This window comes from Homo sapiens, chromosome 6 (assembly GCF_000001405.40).
Source record: "Homo sapiens chromosome 6, GRCh38.p14 Primary Assembly".
NCBI classification, from domain to species: domain Eukaryota; kingdom Metazoa; phylum Chordata; class Mammalia; order Primates; family Hominidae; genus Homo; species Homo sapiens.
Window position 1 is genome coordinate 29314036 of NC_000006.12, and position 20776 is coordinate 29334811.

Genomic DNA, 20776 nt, shown 5'->3' on the forward strand with positions numbered 1-20776 from the left:
TAGCTGGGACTATAGGCGCCCACCACCATGCCTGGCTAATTTTTTTGTATTTTTAGTAGAGACGGGGTTTCACCGTGGTAGCCAGGATGGTCTCGATCTCCTGACCTCGTGATCCGCCCACCTCGGCCTCCCAAAGTGCTGGGATTACAGGCATGAGCCACCACGCCGTGCCCTTTATAACAATTCTTGAAGTCAGGTAGTTTAATGCCTCTAATCTTTTGATTTTCTAGGCTTTGATTTTCCAAGTCTTCTGCATTTCCATATACACTTTAGAATTAGCTTGTTAATTCGTACTAAAAAGAAGCATGCTGGCATTTTTATTAGGATTGCATCAAATCTATAGATCATTTCTGAGAAAATAGAAGTCTTAATATTGAGTCATTTAATTCATAAACACAACATAGCTTCCCATTTTTTAGGTCTTTAATTTCTTTCAGTAACGTTACATGGCTTTCAGTGAGGCAGTCTTGTTCCTTTATTAAATTTATTACTAATTATTCACATTTTAAGTTTTGAATACAAAAATTACACTTCATGCTCCTTAAATTGTTTCAAATGTTGTAGAAATAACATTAAAATAAGAATTTCCTCTTTAATAGTGATTCCTAGAGGTTATCACTATTTTAATTTTGATATATATATATAGACAAAATTGCATATATTATTTCTTTTTTCCTTTTATTATGTGGTTGGATCTCAAGTGCAGAAGGTTGAGTTCATTACATTTATCAGTTCATGGCACCCTGTCCTCATTAATATGTGCACGATCTCTCTCATCTTACTTTATTTAAAACATTTCTTTCCTGTCTGTTTCTACTACCATTCCCCCTAAGGAAAACAATTATTATAAGTTTCATGTGTAACATTTTATGGGCTCTTAATTTCTATTAGTATTGTTGTTTTAGGATATTTTATTCTATAAAATAGTATTACATTATAATCTTATTCAGTTTCTTACTTTTTTTCACTCAGCACACTACTTTTAAGAGCTATCACGTTACAATGTCTACATCTAGCCCACTTTTTCTAAAAACTGCATTTTTTTGATGTTGTACATCCTCAACCTTCGCAAATCTGCTCTCCCGTTGATGGACATCTGGGTTGCTTCTAATTCCCCATTACCATAAATTATGCCAAACAACTGTTGTTATGGACCTGTGTAAGGATTTATTTAGGATATATACCTGGAAGCAAAATTGCTCAGGTCCAATATATGAGAGACTTAATTTGAATTTTTATACCCAGAATGTGCTCCAGAATGCTTCCATGAGGCTACACTCCTACCAGCGGGGCAGACGTGTTCCTGTCATTTCCTCACCTGTCCCAATTCTTGGCACTACCCTGCTTTCTAATACTTACTACTCAAATAGAATACAATGTTACCTCACTTTTAAACTTTGGAGAAATTTTAAACCTGTAAAAAATTTGTAAAAACAATACAGAGGCTTCTCTTTTTATCCCTCACCTTGTTTCCCTAATGTTACTATCTTAACAAAATCATAACACTTCTCTCTTTATAAAATAGCCTAAATAGCTTGAGGTGTTTTTTTATTTTTGTTTTTTCGCTTTTAACTTTTTGGAACACTTTTTGCTCATATCTCTCGATCTGCTTTCTTATGCCTGTGCTAGCGTATAATAAAACTATAATAATAATAATGACATGTAATAAGTACTACTTATGCCAAGGATTATTCTAGGCTTCAAAGGTATTATTGTGTTCAACATTTACAATAAATCTTGTGAGGCAAATAATATTGATATTCCTATTTTAAAGATAAGGAAATTAAGGCACAGGTCACTAATCAACTTATCTACAGTCACTAGCAAACTACTAGCTAACCTGGGACTCAAACTCAAGGCAGTTTGGCCCCCAAGTTTTCATTCTTTACCACTATGGTATTTTAAGGAAAAATTCGATATTATTTTATGAATATAGTTTTGCTTCTCTTTTTTTCAGTTGCAAAAGACCTAACGCATCTGATATATCAAAATATATCAGTCAACCATTATGCAGAAAAGGGTTAACTTTTCATGTCTGTGTTGCAGAACCCTGTATATTCCCAAGAAAGGCCTATATTCAGGACTGGCCCTTGGCAGGCTCCTGGAAGAGGAGCTCTAAGTTCTTTGAATATCCTGCCTAATAAAATGTTTTTTTTAAAATAATTTGTTTTATTGGGTCACAATATAAATTTGATCAGATAGATTATGCTAACAAGGTGATTTATGGTGCCTATTTTTGCTCTGGTGGGCTGGGGTCTGAGTAGCTGAGGTCAGTTACACAGGTGCCGTATGCCTACCTGACTGATCCCCCATAAAAACCTTCTACATCAAACTTGAGTGAACTTCCTGGTTGGCATTATTCTGCATGTGTTATCGTACCATTGATGGCACAATTAAGCACATCAATGTAACTCACTGGAAGAAAACACCTGGAAGCTTATTCCTGGTTTCTCCTAGACTCCCGGCACCTCATGCACTTTTTCCCTTTGTTCATTTTTAATATGATAACTTTTCAATACTAACAGGGACACAAATATGCACATAACACATTATGCCATGTCTTATATCTTTCTTGAGTTGACGTTCTATGAGATATATTATCACATCAACACATGAGTTAAAATTGTCCTATTATCCATACCTTTCAATGCTGTCCATGTTGTTAAATTATAGCAGCTTTCTATTTTGATTTATAAATGGACAGGAATATATCAGTAAGACACTACCAGAGTAGTGCAGTGAATATGCATGCATTCTTACATGTTTACAGAGAGAGATAGGAAAATAAAAGGAAAGGAATGGGATGGAAAGAAAAGGAAAGAAATAAATAAATGAAAGAAAAGAAAATGAAAGAATAAGAAAGGAAAGGGAAGGAATGCCAGCCTTTCCCTAAAGACACATGACACAACTTGAGACCAAAAGTCATAGCATTATAAACAGAATCCCTACGTTTATAACTCTTTCTGTTTGATTTTTACCCTCAGAAGGAAGATTACAAAAAACAATGCAACTGAAATTCATACTTCATAATAATGGTTAAAGCAATAACCATTAATAGTTCATAAGATTTGAGTCCAATAACTTTTAAAGGCATAATTCTTTATGAGCGTATTTTATTTCCCTTTATGCGCAGCTCTAGGCTCCTTTTCCTACTTCCCTGTTTCTAAAAGGTATCCACTATACATTTCTGAAAAATTATGTTTTTGCCTTTGACATCTAAAGCTTCCTGATATAATGTGAAATCATTCTTCAAAGTAGGTTTAGCAATTTACACCCTTACCAACCTTGTATATGAGCTCTCAGAGCTTTACATACTTATCCAACGAGTTACTACTCTAAGGATACTGACAGATACAGCACACTCTACTTTTAATTTGCTTTTTCTATCTTATTAGACATTTTTGTTTGTGTGTTTACTAGGCATTTGGATTTGTTTGCAGACTTTTGCTCATTTTCATTTTGGCCATTTTCTTTTTCTTATTTTTAAGGGAATTATGTGTCTCTTTAGAATACTAAACTGTGCCACTTAATAGAAGTGGCAGATATCCCTTTCCCTTCTGTAGCCTGATTTTTCATTCATTCTGTGGTTTCCTTTGATGTGAAGATGCTCTAATTTTAGATTGCAGAATTATTAAAATAAGTCTTTCTCTCTATGCTAAAGTCTTTTTTAGTTCTTTTGTTAAGGAATGTTTTCCACTCCCAAGGACATAAAGATAATCACTTTATAGGTACTTTAAAAAGTTTTAAAGTTTTGACTTTAATATTTCAATCTTTAATCCACCTGAAACTCATTTTTAGATACACTCATAGTGAGAAATATTTCAATCTATCTTTCTTTTCTTAATGTGGAAAACCAATTGCCCCAGTGCCATTTACTGACTTGCAATGTGTGTGTGTGTGTGTATGTATATATATATATATACATACACACACAGATCTCTTTGGTGTCCTCTCTTTTTGTCCACTCATCTACCTGTCTGTTCCTGTGCTAACACTGTACTGTCTTATTTCCTATACATTGTAAATCTTGCTATTAGAACAAATCTCTGAATTTTATTCCTGTTTTTTTTACTTTTTTTTGTTATCTTGCACTCTTCCCTCTTTGCATAAATGTGAGAATTGGTGCAATAAATTTTTTTATAAATTAAAAGTATCTTTTAATTAAAATTTCATTGACTCTATATGTTAGCAAAAAAATAAAGTTACTAAAGATAACTCCTCAACCATTATCAAGGTAAATATCCATGTTTATTTAGATCTTCTCTAATGTATTTCAGTAAAGTTTTATAATATTCTGTGTAAAGCTTTTCTATGTTCTATTAGATTTACATCTGGACATTATTACTTTGGTAGTTATCAAAATTATGTTTTCCAAACTACATTTTACTCTTTGTTGCTGGTATATAGAAATATACCAATTTGATACCTGGGCCAAGGGATTTGCTAAATTATCTCATTTTTCTAATGTTTTATCTGCAGATTCTTAGGGATTTTTTTTTTTTTCTTGAGACGGAGTCTCGCTCTGTGGCCCAGGCTGGAGTGCAGTGGCGCGATCTCAGCTCACTGCAAGCTCCACGTCCCGGGTTCACGCCATTCTCCTGCCTCAGCCTCCGGAGTAGCTGGGACCACAGGCGCCTGCCACCACGCCCGGCTAATTTTTTTGTATTTTTAGTAGAGACGAGGTTTCACTGTGTTAGCCAGGATGGTCTCGATCTCCTGACCTCGTAATCCACCCGCCTCGGCCTCCCAAAGTGCTGGGATTACAGGCATGAGCCACCGCGCCCGGCCAGGGATTTTTTTAAGTAGGGAAATATAGCTCCTATAATTAAGGAAAGTTTTTAAACTTCCATTCTAGTTCCTATGAATTTTCTTTATCTTAATGCACCAGCTAAAACAATCAAAACAGTGTGGAATTAAAGTGATAACAAGTGGCAGTCATGTCTTGTTCTCACTGAGTACATGTTTTGACCTAGGTTTTAGATGGACAACTGTTTCATTTATCTATTTTTGTATAAGGAGACATCCCAAAACAGTGACTTCAAACAATAACTATTTAACTTATTTACTTTAGCAGAGCTTGGTAAAGACAGCTTGCCACTGTTCCAATAAAGTTAGTATTAGGTTTTACCTAGAAGTCTAGCTAGAGCTGTTGGCTGGTCCTCCATATGGTTCTCCATATGACCTTTCTACATGGCTAGGTTGGGCTCCTCACAAAATGATGGCTAGGTTCCAAGGATAATCTGAAGAACCGGTGTTTGAAGAATATAAGCCACAGGTACAACCATTTATCAAGCCTCTGCTTAGATCTGTCACATTGGTCAAACTTATCACATGGCCAACTGTGGAGTAAGTCATTGTGAAACAAACGTGAGTACTGGGGGCATGGTTCCTTGAGCCCACTAAAGTACTGATCTACCCCAGGAGCCTTTATTAAATTGACAAAGTCCCTTCTTATTTCAGGTCTGCTAAACTTTTCATCATAAATATATGCTGACTTGTATGCAATGTTTCTTTTTCCTATGTCTATTAAGACCATCATACAGTTTTAATTCTTTTATTCATCATTTATTCATGTGAATTTATTGGAACTCCAACTGAAAATCCAGTAGTGATGAATTAGACAAAGTTTTCATATTCATGAAGTGCAATCTATAGTGGTAGAGAAACCACTAACAAATAAACATGTAAGCATGAACCGGGTTAGATGGCAACACACATTACAGAGCTAAAGAAAGCAAGGCAAGTGACATAGTGCAGGAAACAAACTATTTCATATTGTAAAGTTTTCACTAATAGCACCACATGTAAAAATAAAGCTTAAATACAGTTAGCTAATTGAGTATCTGAGGAAAAACATTCCAAGCAGAGAAACCAATGCAAAGTCCAGAGATAGGAGCATTCTTAGAATGTATAATTAATAGCAAGGAAGCCAGTATATTTTTTAAATTGTTCTTCATCATTACTAAATTATATTCACTATTTTTTCAAACCTATTGGCATAACGTTTCATAATTTATTCTTTTATCTTATCTTATTTTTGTGGTTACCTGAAGTTACATTTCCTTTCAATCCCTAATATTATTAATTTGTGCATTATCAGCTATTATTCTTAAAAGATTTTGCCAGAAATTTGACATTTAATATCTTTCCCTCTATTGTTCTTAATTTCAATAACTCTTGCTCTTATCGTAACACTGTATCATTTCTTCCACTTATTTTGAAATTTTTCCATTTGTATTTGTAATTTTTCACATTAGAGACTTAGCTAGTTAACATTTATTTTTTTCTTTTTTAATGTAAGTATTTATGGCTAAAATTATCATTAAAATCAGTTTAGCATATTTGTCATAAATTTGGTGATGTTTATATGTGATGTGATTCTTGATACTTGATTCTATGCCATAGTTCTAGTTAGTTATCATAGCTTTGTAAGTTTTGATATCCAGTGGTGTGACTTCTCCAACTTGGTTTTTCTTCATGTCATTGTGGCTTTTGGTTGCATGCATTTAGATATTAATAGAATCATTTTGTGAATTTCCATAAAGCCAAAAACCTGCTTGCATTTTACTGAGAATCACAATGAATTTAAACATAAATTTGGGAAGAATTGACTTCTTAGCAATATTGAAACTTCCACTTTATAAAAATGTAATATTCCTTGATTTATTTGTCTATTTAAAATTTTTTTAGTAATCGTTTGTAGTTTTCAATGTAGAGATTTTGCCAATATTTAATTAAATTTGTTCCTAAATATTGGGAGGCTTTTGATGCTACTAAAATTTTATGGCCTTTGTATTTTATTTAGTTTACTATTTAATTCTAATAGTTTAGGTATATTTCCTTTCCAGATCTTTATGTACCCAACCACATCATCTATTTTCAAATTTTATACCTTCTTTGTCATTTTCCTGGCTCTATTGGGCTACTGAGAAGAAATATTGACAGTAGTCATTCTTATCTTATTTCTTAACCTATAGTGGAAATTTAAAGTATTTCATCAAGTATGATATATACTGTAGCTTTTATGTAGAGTCTTTTCTTCAGATCAAACATTCCCTTTTCATCTGAGTATGCTCAGTAATTCAGCGATTTTATCTTTAGTAAATGTTAAATTTTTTCAAATGTTTTGCTGTATCTATTGGAATGGTTAAAGTTATTTTTCGTCTGTGTGTATGTCTGTGTGTGTGTGTGTATAATGTCTTCGTTTAATTTTGTTATCAAGTTGATACTGGCCTCATAAGACAAATTGGAAGTGTTTCTTCTTCCCTATTTCCTGGACAATTTTGTGTAATAAAATTTTATCTATCTATTTATTTATTTATTTTTAAACATTTTATTTTGACATAATTTCAAGGTTACATAGAGATTATCAGAATAGAACAAATAATACTCATATATCCTTTACCCAGATTCACAAATTATTAACATTTTTGCCCTAGTTGCTTTATCATTTACTCTTTTAATAAACATTTTTTTAACCTTTTGAACAATGTGTATTTCCTAAGAACAGACATTCTCTTGCATAACTAGTAAAATGACCAATAATAAAAAAATACCATTCATACAATAATATTATGTCATCCAGAGTCAATATTCAAATTTAATCCATTATCCAAATGATATCCTATATTGATTTTATTTCCTAGTCTAAAATTCAACTCAGGAATAAAAATTTCACTTAGTGGTCATGTCCTTTGAGGGTCTTTTAATCTGGATTAGCTCCTCAGTCTTTTCTCTTATAACGTTGGCAGCTTGGAGTTCCTGTTATTTTGTAGAATGTCACTCAGTTTGGGTCTGTCTGATATTTCCTCTGATTAGATCTAGGTCATAAATGTCATATAGGAAAATAGACATGAGATTGTCTTCTCAGCACATTACATCGGAAGGCACATGTTGATCTGTCCCATTACTGGTGATATTAGCTATAATCAGTTGGCTAAGATGGTTCTGCCAGGTTTCTCCATTATAAATTTACTATTTTCCCCTTAGTAATTTATAAGTAATTTGTGGAGAGGTACTTTGACAATACATAAATATTCTTTATTCCCCAAACTTTGACCTACTCATTTAAGTATTCACTGATAATTTTTGCTTAAATTTTTGCTTATAATTTTTATTATAATTGTAGCAAAATGGTGATTTTCTAAGTCTACCATCTCTTTCACATTTATTAGTTGATGTGCTACTTAAAGATATTAAATCCCCTTCTATTAAACAATTTTTTTAATTTATTTTTTATTTCAATAGGTTTTTGGGGAACAGATGGTGTTTGGTTACATGAATAAGGTCTTTAGTGGTGATTTTTGAGATTTTGGTAAACTCATCACCCAAGCAGTGTACACTGTACCCAATATGTAGTCTTTTATCCCTCACCCTGCTCCCACCCTTTCCCCTGAGTCCTCAAAATCCATTCTGTCATTCTTAGGCCTTTGCATCCTCATAGCTTAGCTCCCACTTATGAATGAGAACATGTGATGTTTGGTTTTCCATTCCTGAGTTACTGCACTTAGAATAATGGTCTCCAATTCCATCTCAGTTGCTGTGAATGCCATTATTTTGTTCCTTTTAATGGCTGAATAGTACTCCATGGTGTATACGTATACATCTCCCATATGTTCTTTATCCACTCATTGATTGATGGGCATTTGGACTGGTTACATATTTTTGCAGTTGCAAATTGTGCTGCTATAAACATGTGTGTGCAAGGAATCTTTTTCATATAATGACTTCTTTTCCTCTGGATAGATACCTAGTAGTGGGATTGCTGGATCAACTGGTAGTTCTACCTTTAGTTCTTTAAGGAATCTCCACATTGTTTTCCATAATGGTTATACTAGTTTACATTCCCACCAACAGTGTAAAAGTGTTCCCTTTTCACCACATCCACGCCAACATCTATTATTTTTTGAATTTTTGATTATGGCCATTCTTGCAAGAGTAACGTGGTATCACACTGTGGTTTTGATTTACATTTCCCTGATCATTAGTGATGTTGAGCATTTTTCCATATGCTTGTCGGCCATTTGTATATCTTCTTTTGAGAGTTGTCTATTCCTGTCCTTAGCCCAATTTTTGATAGGATTCTTTGTTTTCTTCTTGCTGATTTGTTTGGGTTCTTCGTAGATTCTGGATATTAGTCCTTTGTCAGATGTATAGATTGTGAATATTTTCTCCCACTCTGTAAGTTGTCTGTTAACTCTGCTGATTATTTCATTTGCTGTGCAGAAGCTTTTTAGTCCTATCTATTTATCCTTGTTTTTGTTGCATTTGCTTTTGGGTTCTTGGTCATGAAATCGTTGCCTAAGCCAATATCTAGAAGGGTTTTTCTGATGTCATGAGTTTTTATGGTTTCAGGTCTTAGATTTAAGTATTTGACTCATTTTCAGTTGATTTTTGTATAAGGTGAGAGATGATGATCCAGTTTCATTCTCCTATATGTGGCTTGCCAATTATCCCAGCACCATTTGTTGAACAGGGTGTCCTTTCCCCACTTCCTGTTTTTCTTTGCTTTGTCAAAGATCAGTTGGCTGTTAAGTATTTGGTTTTATTTTTGGGTTATTTATTCTGTTCCATTAGTCTATGTGCCTATTTTTAGACCAGTACTGTGCTGTTTTGGTGACTATGGCCTTACAGTATAGTTTGAAGTTGGATAATGTGATGCCTCCAGATTTGTTCTGTTTGCTGAGTCTTGCTTTGAATATGCAGGCTCTTTTTAGGTTCCATATCAATTTTAAAATTGTTTTTCTAATTCTGTGAAGAATGGTGGGGGTATTTTGATGGGAATTGCATTGAATCTGTAGATTGCTTTTGGCAGTATGGTCATTTTCAAAATATTGATTCTACCCATCCATGAGCATAGGATGTGTTCCCATTTGTTTGTCTTGTCTATGATTTCTTTGTAATAAAATTTTAAACAAAACATTAATGGACATAATATGTAGCACCATTAAGTGTCCATTTTTGAGTCACTCTGCTAAGCACTTTACAGAATTATTTATTCAATATGCTCATTTTACAGATGCAGAAAGATTAAGCGACTAAAGTCACCTCACAAAGGATAAATGGTAGCACTAGAATTAAACCCAAGCAATCTGACTGTAGTTGTTATGTACTTATATATGATACAGTATGCCTTCTATTATTAAGTATAAAAAATAACAAATGATAAATTCCTCATGTTGGCTAGACTGAGGGAGAACAATACTGGAAGCAATATAATATTTTACAATAATTTTAGAGAGGAATTTATCAATATTTAAATGCATACAGTTTTAGAAATAAACTTAAACTGAATAATCTTATATTCTTTAATTTTAAGGAAAAAACCAACTGCAGAAAATGCAATATTTATAAATACGCTTATGCTATCACTTAGTTGTTATGTTATTCATAATTAAGAAAAAATATTAATAGAGCTATTTAACCTGGTTTGTTGAATGTGATAATGATTACAGAAAACATTGACTAATGCTGCTTATAATAATGAAAAACTGGAAAAGTGACTGGTATACAATAGGCAATCAATAAATATTTGTTAAATAAATAAAGAAAATTTTTCTGCAAATTGTGAATTGTTATCTGAGCAGAATGCTATGTAGCCTTTAAAAAAATAATGTATATCCACATAGCTTCAGAGGAATTTTTGTAACAATTATATTATTATTAAAAATACTAAAATGTGTATACAAGATGGTGAGACAACTCCAAAATATAAAACAACATTATGGACTTACCTTTATTTCTAAGTACTTACAAAGTTGTTGCAAAAATTTTAATATACATATTAATGGATTTAGCTATCATATGAGATTTGCAGATATTGTTGCTAGATTTGTTTTTGAATATTTCAGTAGATATTTCTGATTGTTAGAGATCATAATTTATGACCAAAATAGCTGTTCTAAATCTAATTTTGACACAAAGGCTCAAATTTGTAGCATAAAAAAATGTTAAGTACTGACTTCTAGTTTTCCAGGAGGTCTGGCATTAGAGATCCATTAATTTTTAAAGGGTTAAATGTTCCTGTTTCTTTTTTGGAAATATGTGATTTAGAGTGCATTGATTCTCCAAGTTTGGCTCTTGGACTAGCAGCAGCAGTACCTGGGTGCTTGTTAGGCATTCAAATTCATGAGTGCCATTCCAGACCTACTGAATCAGAATTCATGAGTTTGAGGCTTAGACTTAGGTCCTTATGTTTTAACAAGATCTTCAGGCAACTCAAATGTCTGCTAAAATTTGAGAACCAATGCTAAGGATGACAAAACCCCATAACTTACTAAACTATTTCCCTTCTATATGAAAATTTTAAGGGCTCCAAATTCCAGGTGTTAGAAGAGTACGAAATTGAAATATTTTTATCATATAGTCCAGACTTCCAGTATGAAAGACGTAAAATAAAAAAAGTCCTGAATCTTCTAAGGAAACAATATGTTTAAAAGTATCTGAGAGTAGATTTGAGAGTTTTAAAAAAAACTGTTTTTAAAGACGTAAAGTAGAGCTATGAGCTCACCAAAGTCCACTGAAGTTCGCCAAAGAGCTGAGTTACTTCAGCTCTCATGAGACCAGTAATTTTTGCTTGACGAAGGTATTTGGCAAGAAAATAATTCCACAATAACACATTTAAAGATACCTAGAACATTGAAAAAAATTCTCAAATTAAGATAATATAGCTTAATTCCCAAGAACTTATTTCATCTCTTTTGTTACTAATCTAGAAGGTCAGGAGTGTGGTAAAGGCAGTGTCTGATAAGGTTATGAGCTTCCAAAGAGTTTCTACATTTTTAGTGCAGACACTCTCCCTTTGGGGGCAAAGTACGGTTTCTCCCATCCCTATTAAAAAGAAAACAGTTAAACTAAGTTATCAGAATGAGATATTTTGACTCTTAACAATTTACACTCAAGGCTTTATGCTGAGTTGTCTTGTTCTAATCAAGCATGAAGGTGTCAAGCACAAAGCACGTGGCAAACGAAAGACACTCCCGCCTCATTCTGAAAACAAATACTGATAACCAACCCCACCCTCTTACCATTTCAGGCCAACCCATCTTATGATACTGGGACCAACTTGAAATAATTTAGAGGTATATTTAGGTTTCCCTCTCCCTTACTTCAGTAAAAGATCATTTTAGAATAACTTTATTCCTTTCCTAAGGGAAAGACAAAAAAGTTTCCATCCCGTCAGAACATACGGGGAGAGAAAACACACAGGCCCAGAGGTGGGAAGGTGTGTGACAGTCCATAACCCATTACACAACGATGCAACCAAAGGCTAAACCATGAGTTGAATATAGTTTTAATATTAAAAATAGGAACTAGTTATCATCCAAATGAACCACTGGAAAAAATATTACCATTACTTTAAAAAATACATTCCAATATTGGAAATAATCTGAAAACACTTTCCAGTAGTAACAATCCTCCTTAATATGAGGGACAAAAAAAAAGACCAGGCTTTGACCAAGTCCTTAGAGCATATTTCCATTTCATGATTTATATTCAAGAACCAAGCAACAAGCTGGACAGCTGCCTCTGTAACACTGTGTCCAATAGTGGTGTCCCAGATAGTTTAAGTGCCACTCGTCATTAGATGTTATACTTCAGCAATACTTCCAATTTTAAGTCTGTACTTTAAGAGGGACCCACAGGAACTCAGCACCAGGCAGAGCAGTGTAAGACTGGAAAAGAAGACTGAACTTTTGATTGGTCACTCACATGTTTTTTAGCGAGATACAGAATTACATTTACACTCTTTCCTTGCATTTCTTCTATATTAATGATCCCTCTTGCAGGAGGTGTAGGAGAAAGAATGCTGCGTCAGTACAAGAACAAGACTTTTTGGTCAAAAGTTGATACCGTTTAAATTCCCTCTCCCAGCGCTTCATGCAAAAAAAAAAAAAGGTTACTTCCTGAATTAAGGTTTGTATTTAGTAACCAACATTGACTGGACAGAACATACGTGACTTGGATTCCAAATAAATGAGATTGCTCTTTTTTGGGTTTGTACTGTGCAGCTCTTGCCACAGTTGTTGAAGAGTTAGGGCTGTGTCTGATCAGGAGGCATCTGTAGGATTTTGATCTCCAAGGAATTGTGGGTGAGTCACATACACCTGGTGTATTACAGGTGGGCACCTGTAATCCCAGCTACTTGGGAGACTGAGACAGGGAGAATCTCTTGAACCCGGGAGGCGGAGGTTGCACTGAGCCAAGATCATGCCATTGCATTCCAGCCTGGGTGACACAGTGAGACTCTGTCTTGGGAAAAAAAATAGAAGTGGGCAGAGTCAAAAAAGCAACTTCAAATAATTAATCCCTTTGTCCATATGAGTTAAATACAAACGTGTATATTTTAGGTTTTTAAAAATCAATGCAATATGGGAATCAATTTTTTAAAAATTATTTTTTGCTTTTTTTTCTCCTCCCAGATGCCTTCTGATTGACCTAGTACACTGGGTTAAAAGGGAATTCAAAAACATTAAAAAAAAGTTCACTGGTTTTGATTCATCTCAGTCTTTTGGCCTGGAGATTAGGCCAAACATCAAGCATGTTGGGAGGGCAACAATTTAAAGCAACATTATTGACTGTAAAGCATTTGCCAGGAATTTACAGTACAAAATGACAGATAACAATTATTGTCATAACACAAGAGAATGGCAAGCAGCTTTGTGTGGTATGAAAGTTAAACAGTTCTCAGGGGTTGTCCATTCCTGCAAAAGTTTATGTATCAAGGTGGGCAGAAGGCAATACATTTACACACTACAGATGATCCATAGAAAATTAAGCTCCAGAACTCCTAACATCACCAAAGCTGGTACTGGCTAATACTATGAAATGCGAATCTGTGCTTTATGCATGTACTGCTCAACAATACTACCACTCAACAGAATCCCCACACTGCAAGGTAGATGCATGGTAGATTAATCTTTGCCCTCTTTTGGAGAGCTTGAAAAATTCCTTAAACTTTTAGAAAGGGTGAAGAAGCAAAATAAAAGAGCTTCTCAAAAAAAAAAAATCTTGAATTATCAATTTTTGACGCTTCGTTGCTCTCTCTGGTAAGCCTCCTCCAGGGGTACTAGATGAGACAGCGTGGGAGCAAACAGGACATCCCAGATTTCTGTGTCCCTTTCCTAACCAAGGGTACCATAGAAACCTGCTCTCTACAGCAAGAGGCCAAAGTGCTTTCTAGAATTTAGTGCTGAGTAAACTGAGCCCCTTCATCTTTAGCTGCTCCCATAATCACTCTAATCCCCTTAATCCCATCAACCTTTATCATATATATGTATATATACATATACACTTATTTACAAGGTTGATAAAAGTATACACACTCAATTTTCAACGCAACACACTCTGCCACAAAAGAAATAGGGTCAAGGTTCTGACATGTCTACAAGTCAAGTGCCATATTGTTACTGGAGACGTATGTAAACCAGTCTTTAGTGTTTGCTATAGAGCACAAAGGCTTGTCATAAGGCTCCTCCAATGATAGACTGCTTTTCCTTTGGGAGCATTGATGTTTTATCTACTCAGACCAGAATAAATTTTTACTTGGAATTATTATTATTTTGAGACGGAGTCTTGCTCTGTTGCCCAGGCTGGAGTGCAATGGCACGATCTCAGTTCACCGCAATTTCCGCCTCCCAGGTTCAAGCAATTCTCTTGCCCCAGCCTCCCAAGTAGCTGGGATTACAGGCACCTGCCACCACGCCTGGCTAATTTTTTTGTATTCTTAGTAAAGACAGGGTTTCACTGTGTTGGTCAGGCTGGTCTCAAGATCCTGACCTCAGATAATCTATCTGCCTCGGCCTCCCAAAGTGCTGGGATTACAGGCGTGAGCCACCATGCCCTGTTGGGATTTTTTTAATACATGTGTTTACAGTGTGGATGAACTGCAGCTGCATATCAACTCCTCCAATATAAAGAAAAAGAAAATGGTATTTAACTGACTAATAAGTTTCATCTACCAGCTCTGGGCTTCAGTATTGGGTAGAAAGAAAACAGAGACTTCACCCTAAAACCAAAATTAAAAGACAAAAATTTTTTAAAGAATAAAGGAAAGAAAGAGTACTACTGTTGATTCTTTGGTCTGTGTCTAAAAGATGATATTCTGAATAACTCAGAGCATACAGCACTTCACACAAATGAGTAATAAGCTCCTCAGGCTTAAAAAAAAAATGGATGACTAGGGAGAAGTTGAAATGTCCTCGAGAGTCAGATGTTGGAGAATTTTGAAATAATAGACAAGCTTTTGTGTTCATTAAGATTCTTCTCTTTTTAGGGTTTCTCCCCTTCTTTCTTTTCCTTTCCTGTCCCCTTTCCCCAGAAAACATTTTTTTAAAACCAGCAGTTAGTGCAACTAATGTTCACTTAGCATACAGTGCAAACAGATGGAACAAAAAAAAAGGAATATTCCTTCTTTTCAGCTTTTTTCTCTTCACCAGTTAAAAAAGGAAAAAAAAAATTCTGAACTCTTTTAAGTCTTCATAGTTCTGAAATAAAAGATGAAAAACTCACAAAGAGAAGAGCACTCCTCTCTAAAAAATGGTATGTCATAGATCCAAACAAGGCTTCCACAGTTTGTCAAAGAGTGCTTATTAAGGCTTCTCATTTTCTACAGCCTTGCTGTGGAATTCTGCCACATGCAGGCTCTTGTCAATGTTGCTTGGAATAGGTTTTATTTCTTTTCCCAGCTGCTCCTCAATACCTTTCAGGTTGAAGTGATCGCCATATGTGATCAAGTTGATGGCTAAGCCAAAATGGCCAAAGTGACCTGGTCTTCCAATATGACGGAGATAGGTCTCTTCTAGCTTTGAAAAGTCAAAGTTTATTACCACATTCACAGCTTGTATATCAATACCTCAAGTAAACAGATCAGTGCAAATGAGAATAAGCCATTTCAGAAATAATAAAATACACAATTTTGATGTTCCTGCCTCATTTTAGCATGAATGTAGAAACAAAAATAACCCAGTTGAGAAATTTTGGCTGGCCATTCAACTCGCTGAGAGCAGTTAAAGAAAATGATCATCTGGTTTAGCTGAAGCCTGGAGAAAAGTGTGGTGAGGCCGTGTACTTTTTGGTGCTCAGTTACATATGCGTAGTACTGGGTTATGTCCTTCAGAGTTAGTTTTTCCATCAGGTTAGTCTCAGGGTTTCTGCAAATGGGAATTCATGAACTTCTGTATACTAAGAGGGAAAGTAGCAGAATGTAGTAAAATCTGCCTGTCTTCAGGTAGCATGAGAATAATATCTTCCATTAACTGCCCAAAATCCTGGGACAGAAACTTATCTGCCTCATCCAATACTATCACCTGGACATGACTGACCTTTGCTACTCCTTTCTTAATAAGATTCAGGATTCTCCCAGGGGCAGCAATCACCATGTGCACTGTATCATCCAGCCTCAGTACGTCATCTCCTGAATTGGTTCCTCCTGTGGTCATCACCACTTTGACTCCTCCCATGTGTTTGCTGACCTGGATGCAAATTTGACTGACCTGTAGAGCAGGTCCTCCTGTGGGAACAATCACTATTGTTTGTATAGTGTCCTTCTTCAGGTCTAGCCTTTTAAGTAGGGGAATGTCATGGGCACTGCTCTTGCCTGTTCCATTTTTTGCTCTAGCTAAGATATCCCTACCAGATAAAGCAATGGGAATGCTCTCTTCTTGGAAAGGAGATGGCTTTTTCCATCCCATTTCAAAAATTCTCATCAGTAACTGCCGTTTCAAACAGTAATCTTCAAATTAATATCCTCTTGTAGAGGTCACATCCAACATTTTGATTCTTAGATCCTTTGGAAGGAGTTTTAAAGTCTTCTTCCAATTATCACCAGGCTTAATAGTGGTGGTCATACTCTGCGCTTGTGGTTGAGTGCTATTATTGTGTTGGTGTTTTTCAGCTGGTTCGTCTGTTGCTGTGTCTGTGTGGCCTCTCCTCTAGGGCCACCACTGGGTTTCAGGGGACCCCTCAGCTGACCATTTTGACTGGACAGACCCATTATAACAGCGTTCTCTGTTCTGGTTGTGCTCATGCTGTGTTAATTGCAAAGGTGTCTTTCAAACTTCAAAACGTTTGAAAGTCAATAGAGAAACTGTAATAATAGTTTATTAGGCTGTCCAAAGTGAAGAGATAAATATAGGTCTTGCTCAATAATTAAGTTCTTTTATTATAATGCAGGCAAGCACCCGTAAGTCTCTGAATGGTAAGCAGCAGTAACTTACTTTCTTGTACTGTATCAACTTTTAATTTTTAAAAGGCCCTCTTACCAGCTTCAATTATAGCTGAATTCACTTACTTCAATCACTGAGGCCACTCCTGTGCTGGACACTCTTGGTCCTTTATTGTTGACTGGAAACTCCCAAAATATTGCCACTCTTTCCTCTTTGGATACCTCAACCTGCACCTCCAGATATAATTTCTAAGATCAATTACTGAGACACACAAAGAAATCTGGTGAGATTTTACGTGGTTTAGAATAAAGTCCAAAGAGGCTGTTTGATATAGTGGTTTTTCCTACTTCTTTCTAGAACTCACAGATGAAAAAGAAAAATGCAGAAATATGAGACTCATTACCAAGTGACTCGTCAACACTCATATACTGATGTGTATTTTGTTTTGTTTGTTTAAAGACAGTCTTGCTATGTTGCCCAGGCTGGAGTGCCGTGGTGATTCACAGGTGTGATCATGGTTCACTATAGCCTCAGGCTCCTGGGCTCATCCTCCCACCTCAGCATACTGAGGAGCTAGGACTGCTGGCATGTGCCATCATACCCAGTTAAATTATATGTATTTTAATTAGGGTAGAACCCTTAGTTATTTCCAAAGCTATTTCTTATACTGTATTTAAAACTTAAACTTAATTCTAAAGAAAAGATAATGAATAAATGAATCCCTTTTTTTTGTTGAGATGGAGTCTCACTCTGTCACCAGCCTAGAGTGCAGTGGTGCAATCTCAGCTCACTGCAGCCTCTGCCTCCCGGGTTCAAGTGATTCTCCTGCCTCAGCCTCCTGAGTAGCTGGGACTACAGGACCGCGCACCACCACACCCAGCTAATTTTTGAATTTTTAGTAGAGATGTGTTTCACCATGTTGGCCAGGATGGTCTCTATCTCCTGACCTTGTGATCTGTCTGCCTCAGCCTCCCAACATGCTGGGATTACAGGCGTGAGCCACCGCACCCGGCCATAACTTATTTTTAATATCTCTTGACTGCAGCTGCTACCACAATTTGCATCTTCAAAATGGTTATGGAGGTTCAAGATGGCTGACTGGAAGCAGCTAGAGTATGCTACTCTCAAAGAGAGGAAAGAAAGTGGCAAGTAAATAGTAGCTCTTCAGGTGAATTCTCTAAGAGAGCATGTCAAGATTCACCAAGGAAGTGAGGGGGCTCACGAAGACCTCAGCACATTTTATCAGGAGCTTCTCCTAGCCACACCCATCAGGGCTGGTGCCTGCACCTGTCATTGAGATATTCGTGGGAAAGCCACGTTTCCAGCTCTGCCCAGGTATATCCCACCACCCTCACAAATTAGGAAGCTCAGAACACTGGACACCCACCCCACTGTCCAGTCCTTCACCTGAAACAACAGAGAGCACCTCACAGTAAATAAAGGTCAGCTCCCCTCCCACCTACTTGTGTGGCAGCTGACTCTTACCTGCAAATGCCATATCCTGAGTCATAGGTCAAACCACACAGCCCAACACAAAACCTGCTGACAGAAGTGCATAGGACTATAGAAACAACCCCAAAGACCCTACCTAGTACAACACTCTCCAGATGAGAAGGAACCAGCACAAGAATTCTGCCACCATTAAAAATCTGAATGGAATGACATCATCAAAGGCTGACTCTAGGTTTCCAGCAATGGTTCTTAACCAAAATGGAGGCAGGAGGATGACAGAGGAGGAATTCAAAGTATGGATTACAGGGAAACTCAATGAGATCCAAAATAAGGTTAAAAATCAGTACAAAGAAACCTGTAAAGCAATCCAGGAAATAAAAGAAGATGCAAACATCTTAAAAAGAAATCATTCAGAGCAATGAAAACTATAAAACTCACTTAAGGAATTTCAAAATACAATTGAATGCTTTCCCAATAGACTAGACCAAACAGAAGAAAGAATTTCAGAGTTTGAAGATTGGTCTTTCAAACTTACCCAGTCAGACAAAAACAAAGAAAAAAGAAATTTAAAAATTCTTAAAATTCTTGGCACAAAGTCTCCAAGACACATGGGTTGTGTAAAATGGCAAAACCTGTGAATGACTGGCATTAATGAGAGAGAAAAAGAAAAAGTAAAAAACATGGAAAACATATTTGAGGGAATAATTTGAGAAATTTTCCTTTATCTTGCTAGGGAAGTAGACATACAGATATAATAAATCCAGAGAAGACCTGCCAGATCCTATATAAAATAAACATCACCAAGGTATATAGTGACCAGAATGCCCAAGGTCAATGCTAAAGAAAAAACTTTAAAGGCAGCTAGAAAAAAAGGTTAGATCCCATACAAAGGGAATCCCATCAGGCTAACAGCAAACAGAGGAAACATTATAAACTTATTGGGGGCCTTCTCAGCAGAAATCTTATGGGGGACTTACATTCAGCATTTTTTAAGGAAGAGACTCCAACCAAGAATTTCATACAACACCAAACCAAGCTTCATAAGTTAACAAGAACTAAAATATTTTTCAGATAAGCAATAGCTAAGGGAAGTCATTACCACTAAACCAGCCTTACAAGAGATCCATAATGGATTTCTAAACATGGAAAGAATAATAACTGCTACTACAAAAACACACTTAACTACATAGTCCACAGACCCTATATGGCAACCACACAATAGAAACTACAAAGCAACCAGCTAACAACTTTACGATATGATCAAAATCTCACATATTAATATTAACCTTGAATGTGAATGGTCTTAACACCCTACTTCAAAGGCACAGAGTGGCAAGTTGGATAAAAAACAAGACTCACCCATCTGCTGTCTTCAAGAGACCCATCTTACACGTGATGACACTGATAGACTCAAGGTAAAGGGTAGGAGAAAGATCTATCACCCAAACAGAAGACAAAAAAGAGCAGGGGTTACAATTATTATTTCAGATAAAATAGACTTTAAAACAACAGTAGTCAAAAAAGGATAAAGAAGGGCTCTATGCAATGATAAAGGGTTTGATCCAACCACATGGCTTAACTATCCTGAATATATATGCAAATAAAATTGGAGCACCTAGATTCATAAAACAAGTACTGCTAGACCTACAAAAATACTTAGCCACACCATGGGAGTGGGTGACTTCAACATCCCATTGACAGAGTTAGATCATCAAGGCAGAAAACTAACAAAGAAATCCTGGAGTTAAATTCGACATTTGACCAATTGGACATAATAGACATCTACAGAACACTCCACCCAGCAACCATAGGATATACATTCTTCTCATTTGCATATGGAACATATGCTAAGATTGACCACATGCTTGGACATCAGGCAAGTCTCAATAAAGTTAAAAAATTCAAAATCATACAAACTATACTTTGGGCCATGGTGGAATAAAAATACAAATCAATACCGGTAAGTTCTCTCAAAACCACAAAATTACATGGAAATTAAATAACTTTATTCTGAGTAACTTTTGGGTAAACAATAAAATTAAGGCAAAAATTTAGAAAATTATTTAAAATAAATAAAAACAGAGATACAATATTTTATTTTTTATTTTTACTTTTTTATATACATATTTTATTATACTTTAAGTTCTAGGGTACATGTG

The 20776-nt window shown here is 35.6% G+C and overlaps 1 long non-coding RNA gene and 1 pseudogene across 3 annotated transcripts in view; both read right to left on the reverse strand.

Moving 5' to 3' along the window:
* LOC105375005 (uncharacterized) overlaps window positions 1–20408 on the reverse strand; it is a 50372-nt gene extending 29964 nt beyond the window's left edge. Inside the window, exons 1-4 of one of the 3 annotated variants that reach the window (XR_001744074.1) lie at window positions 20266–20408; window positions 19977–20052; window positions 17291–17426; window positions 11516–11629 (exon numbers count right to left, since the gene is read on the reverse strand). This is a non-coding gene — a long non-coding RNA (uncharacterized LOC105375005). Of the gene's footprint in view, window positions 1–11515; window positions 11630–17290; window positions 17427–19976; window positions 20053–20265 lie in introns of those variants that run through there. The other 2 variants (XR_001744075.1, XR_926670.1) reach the window with 2 other exon arrangements.
* DDX6P1 (DEAD-box helicase 6 pseudogene 1) lies at window positions 15394–17226 on the reverse strand (annotated as a pseudogene).
* Window positions 20409–20776: the final 368 nt, after the last annotated feature.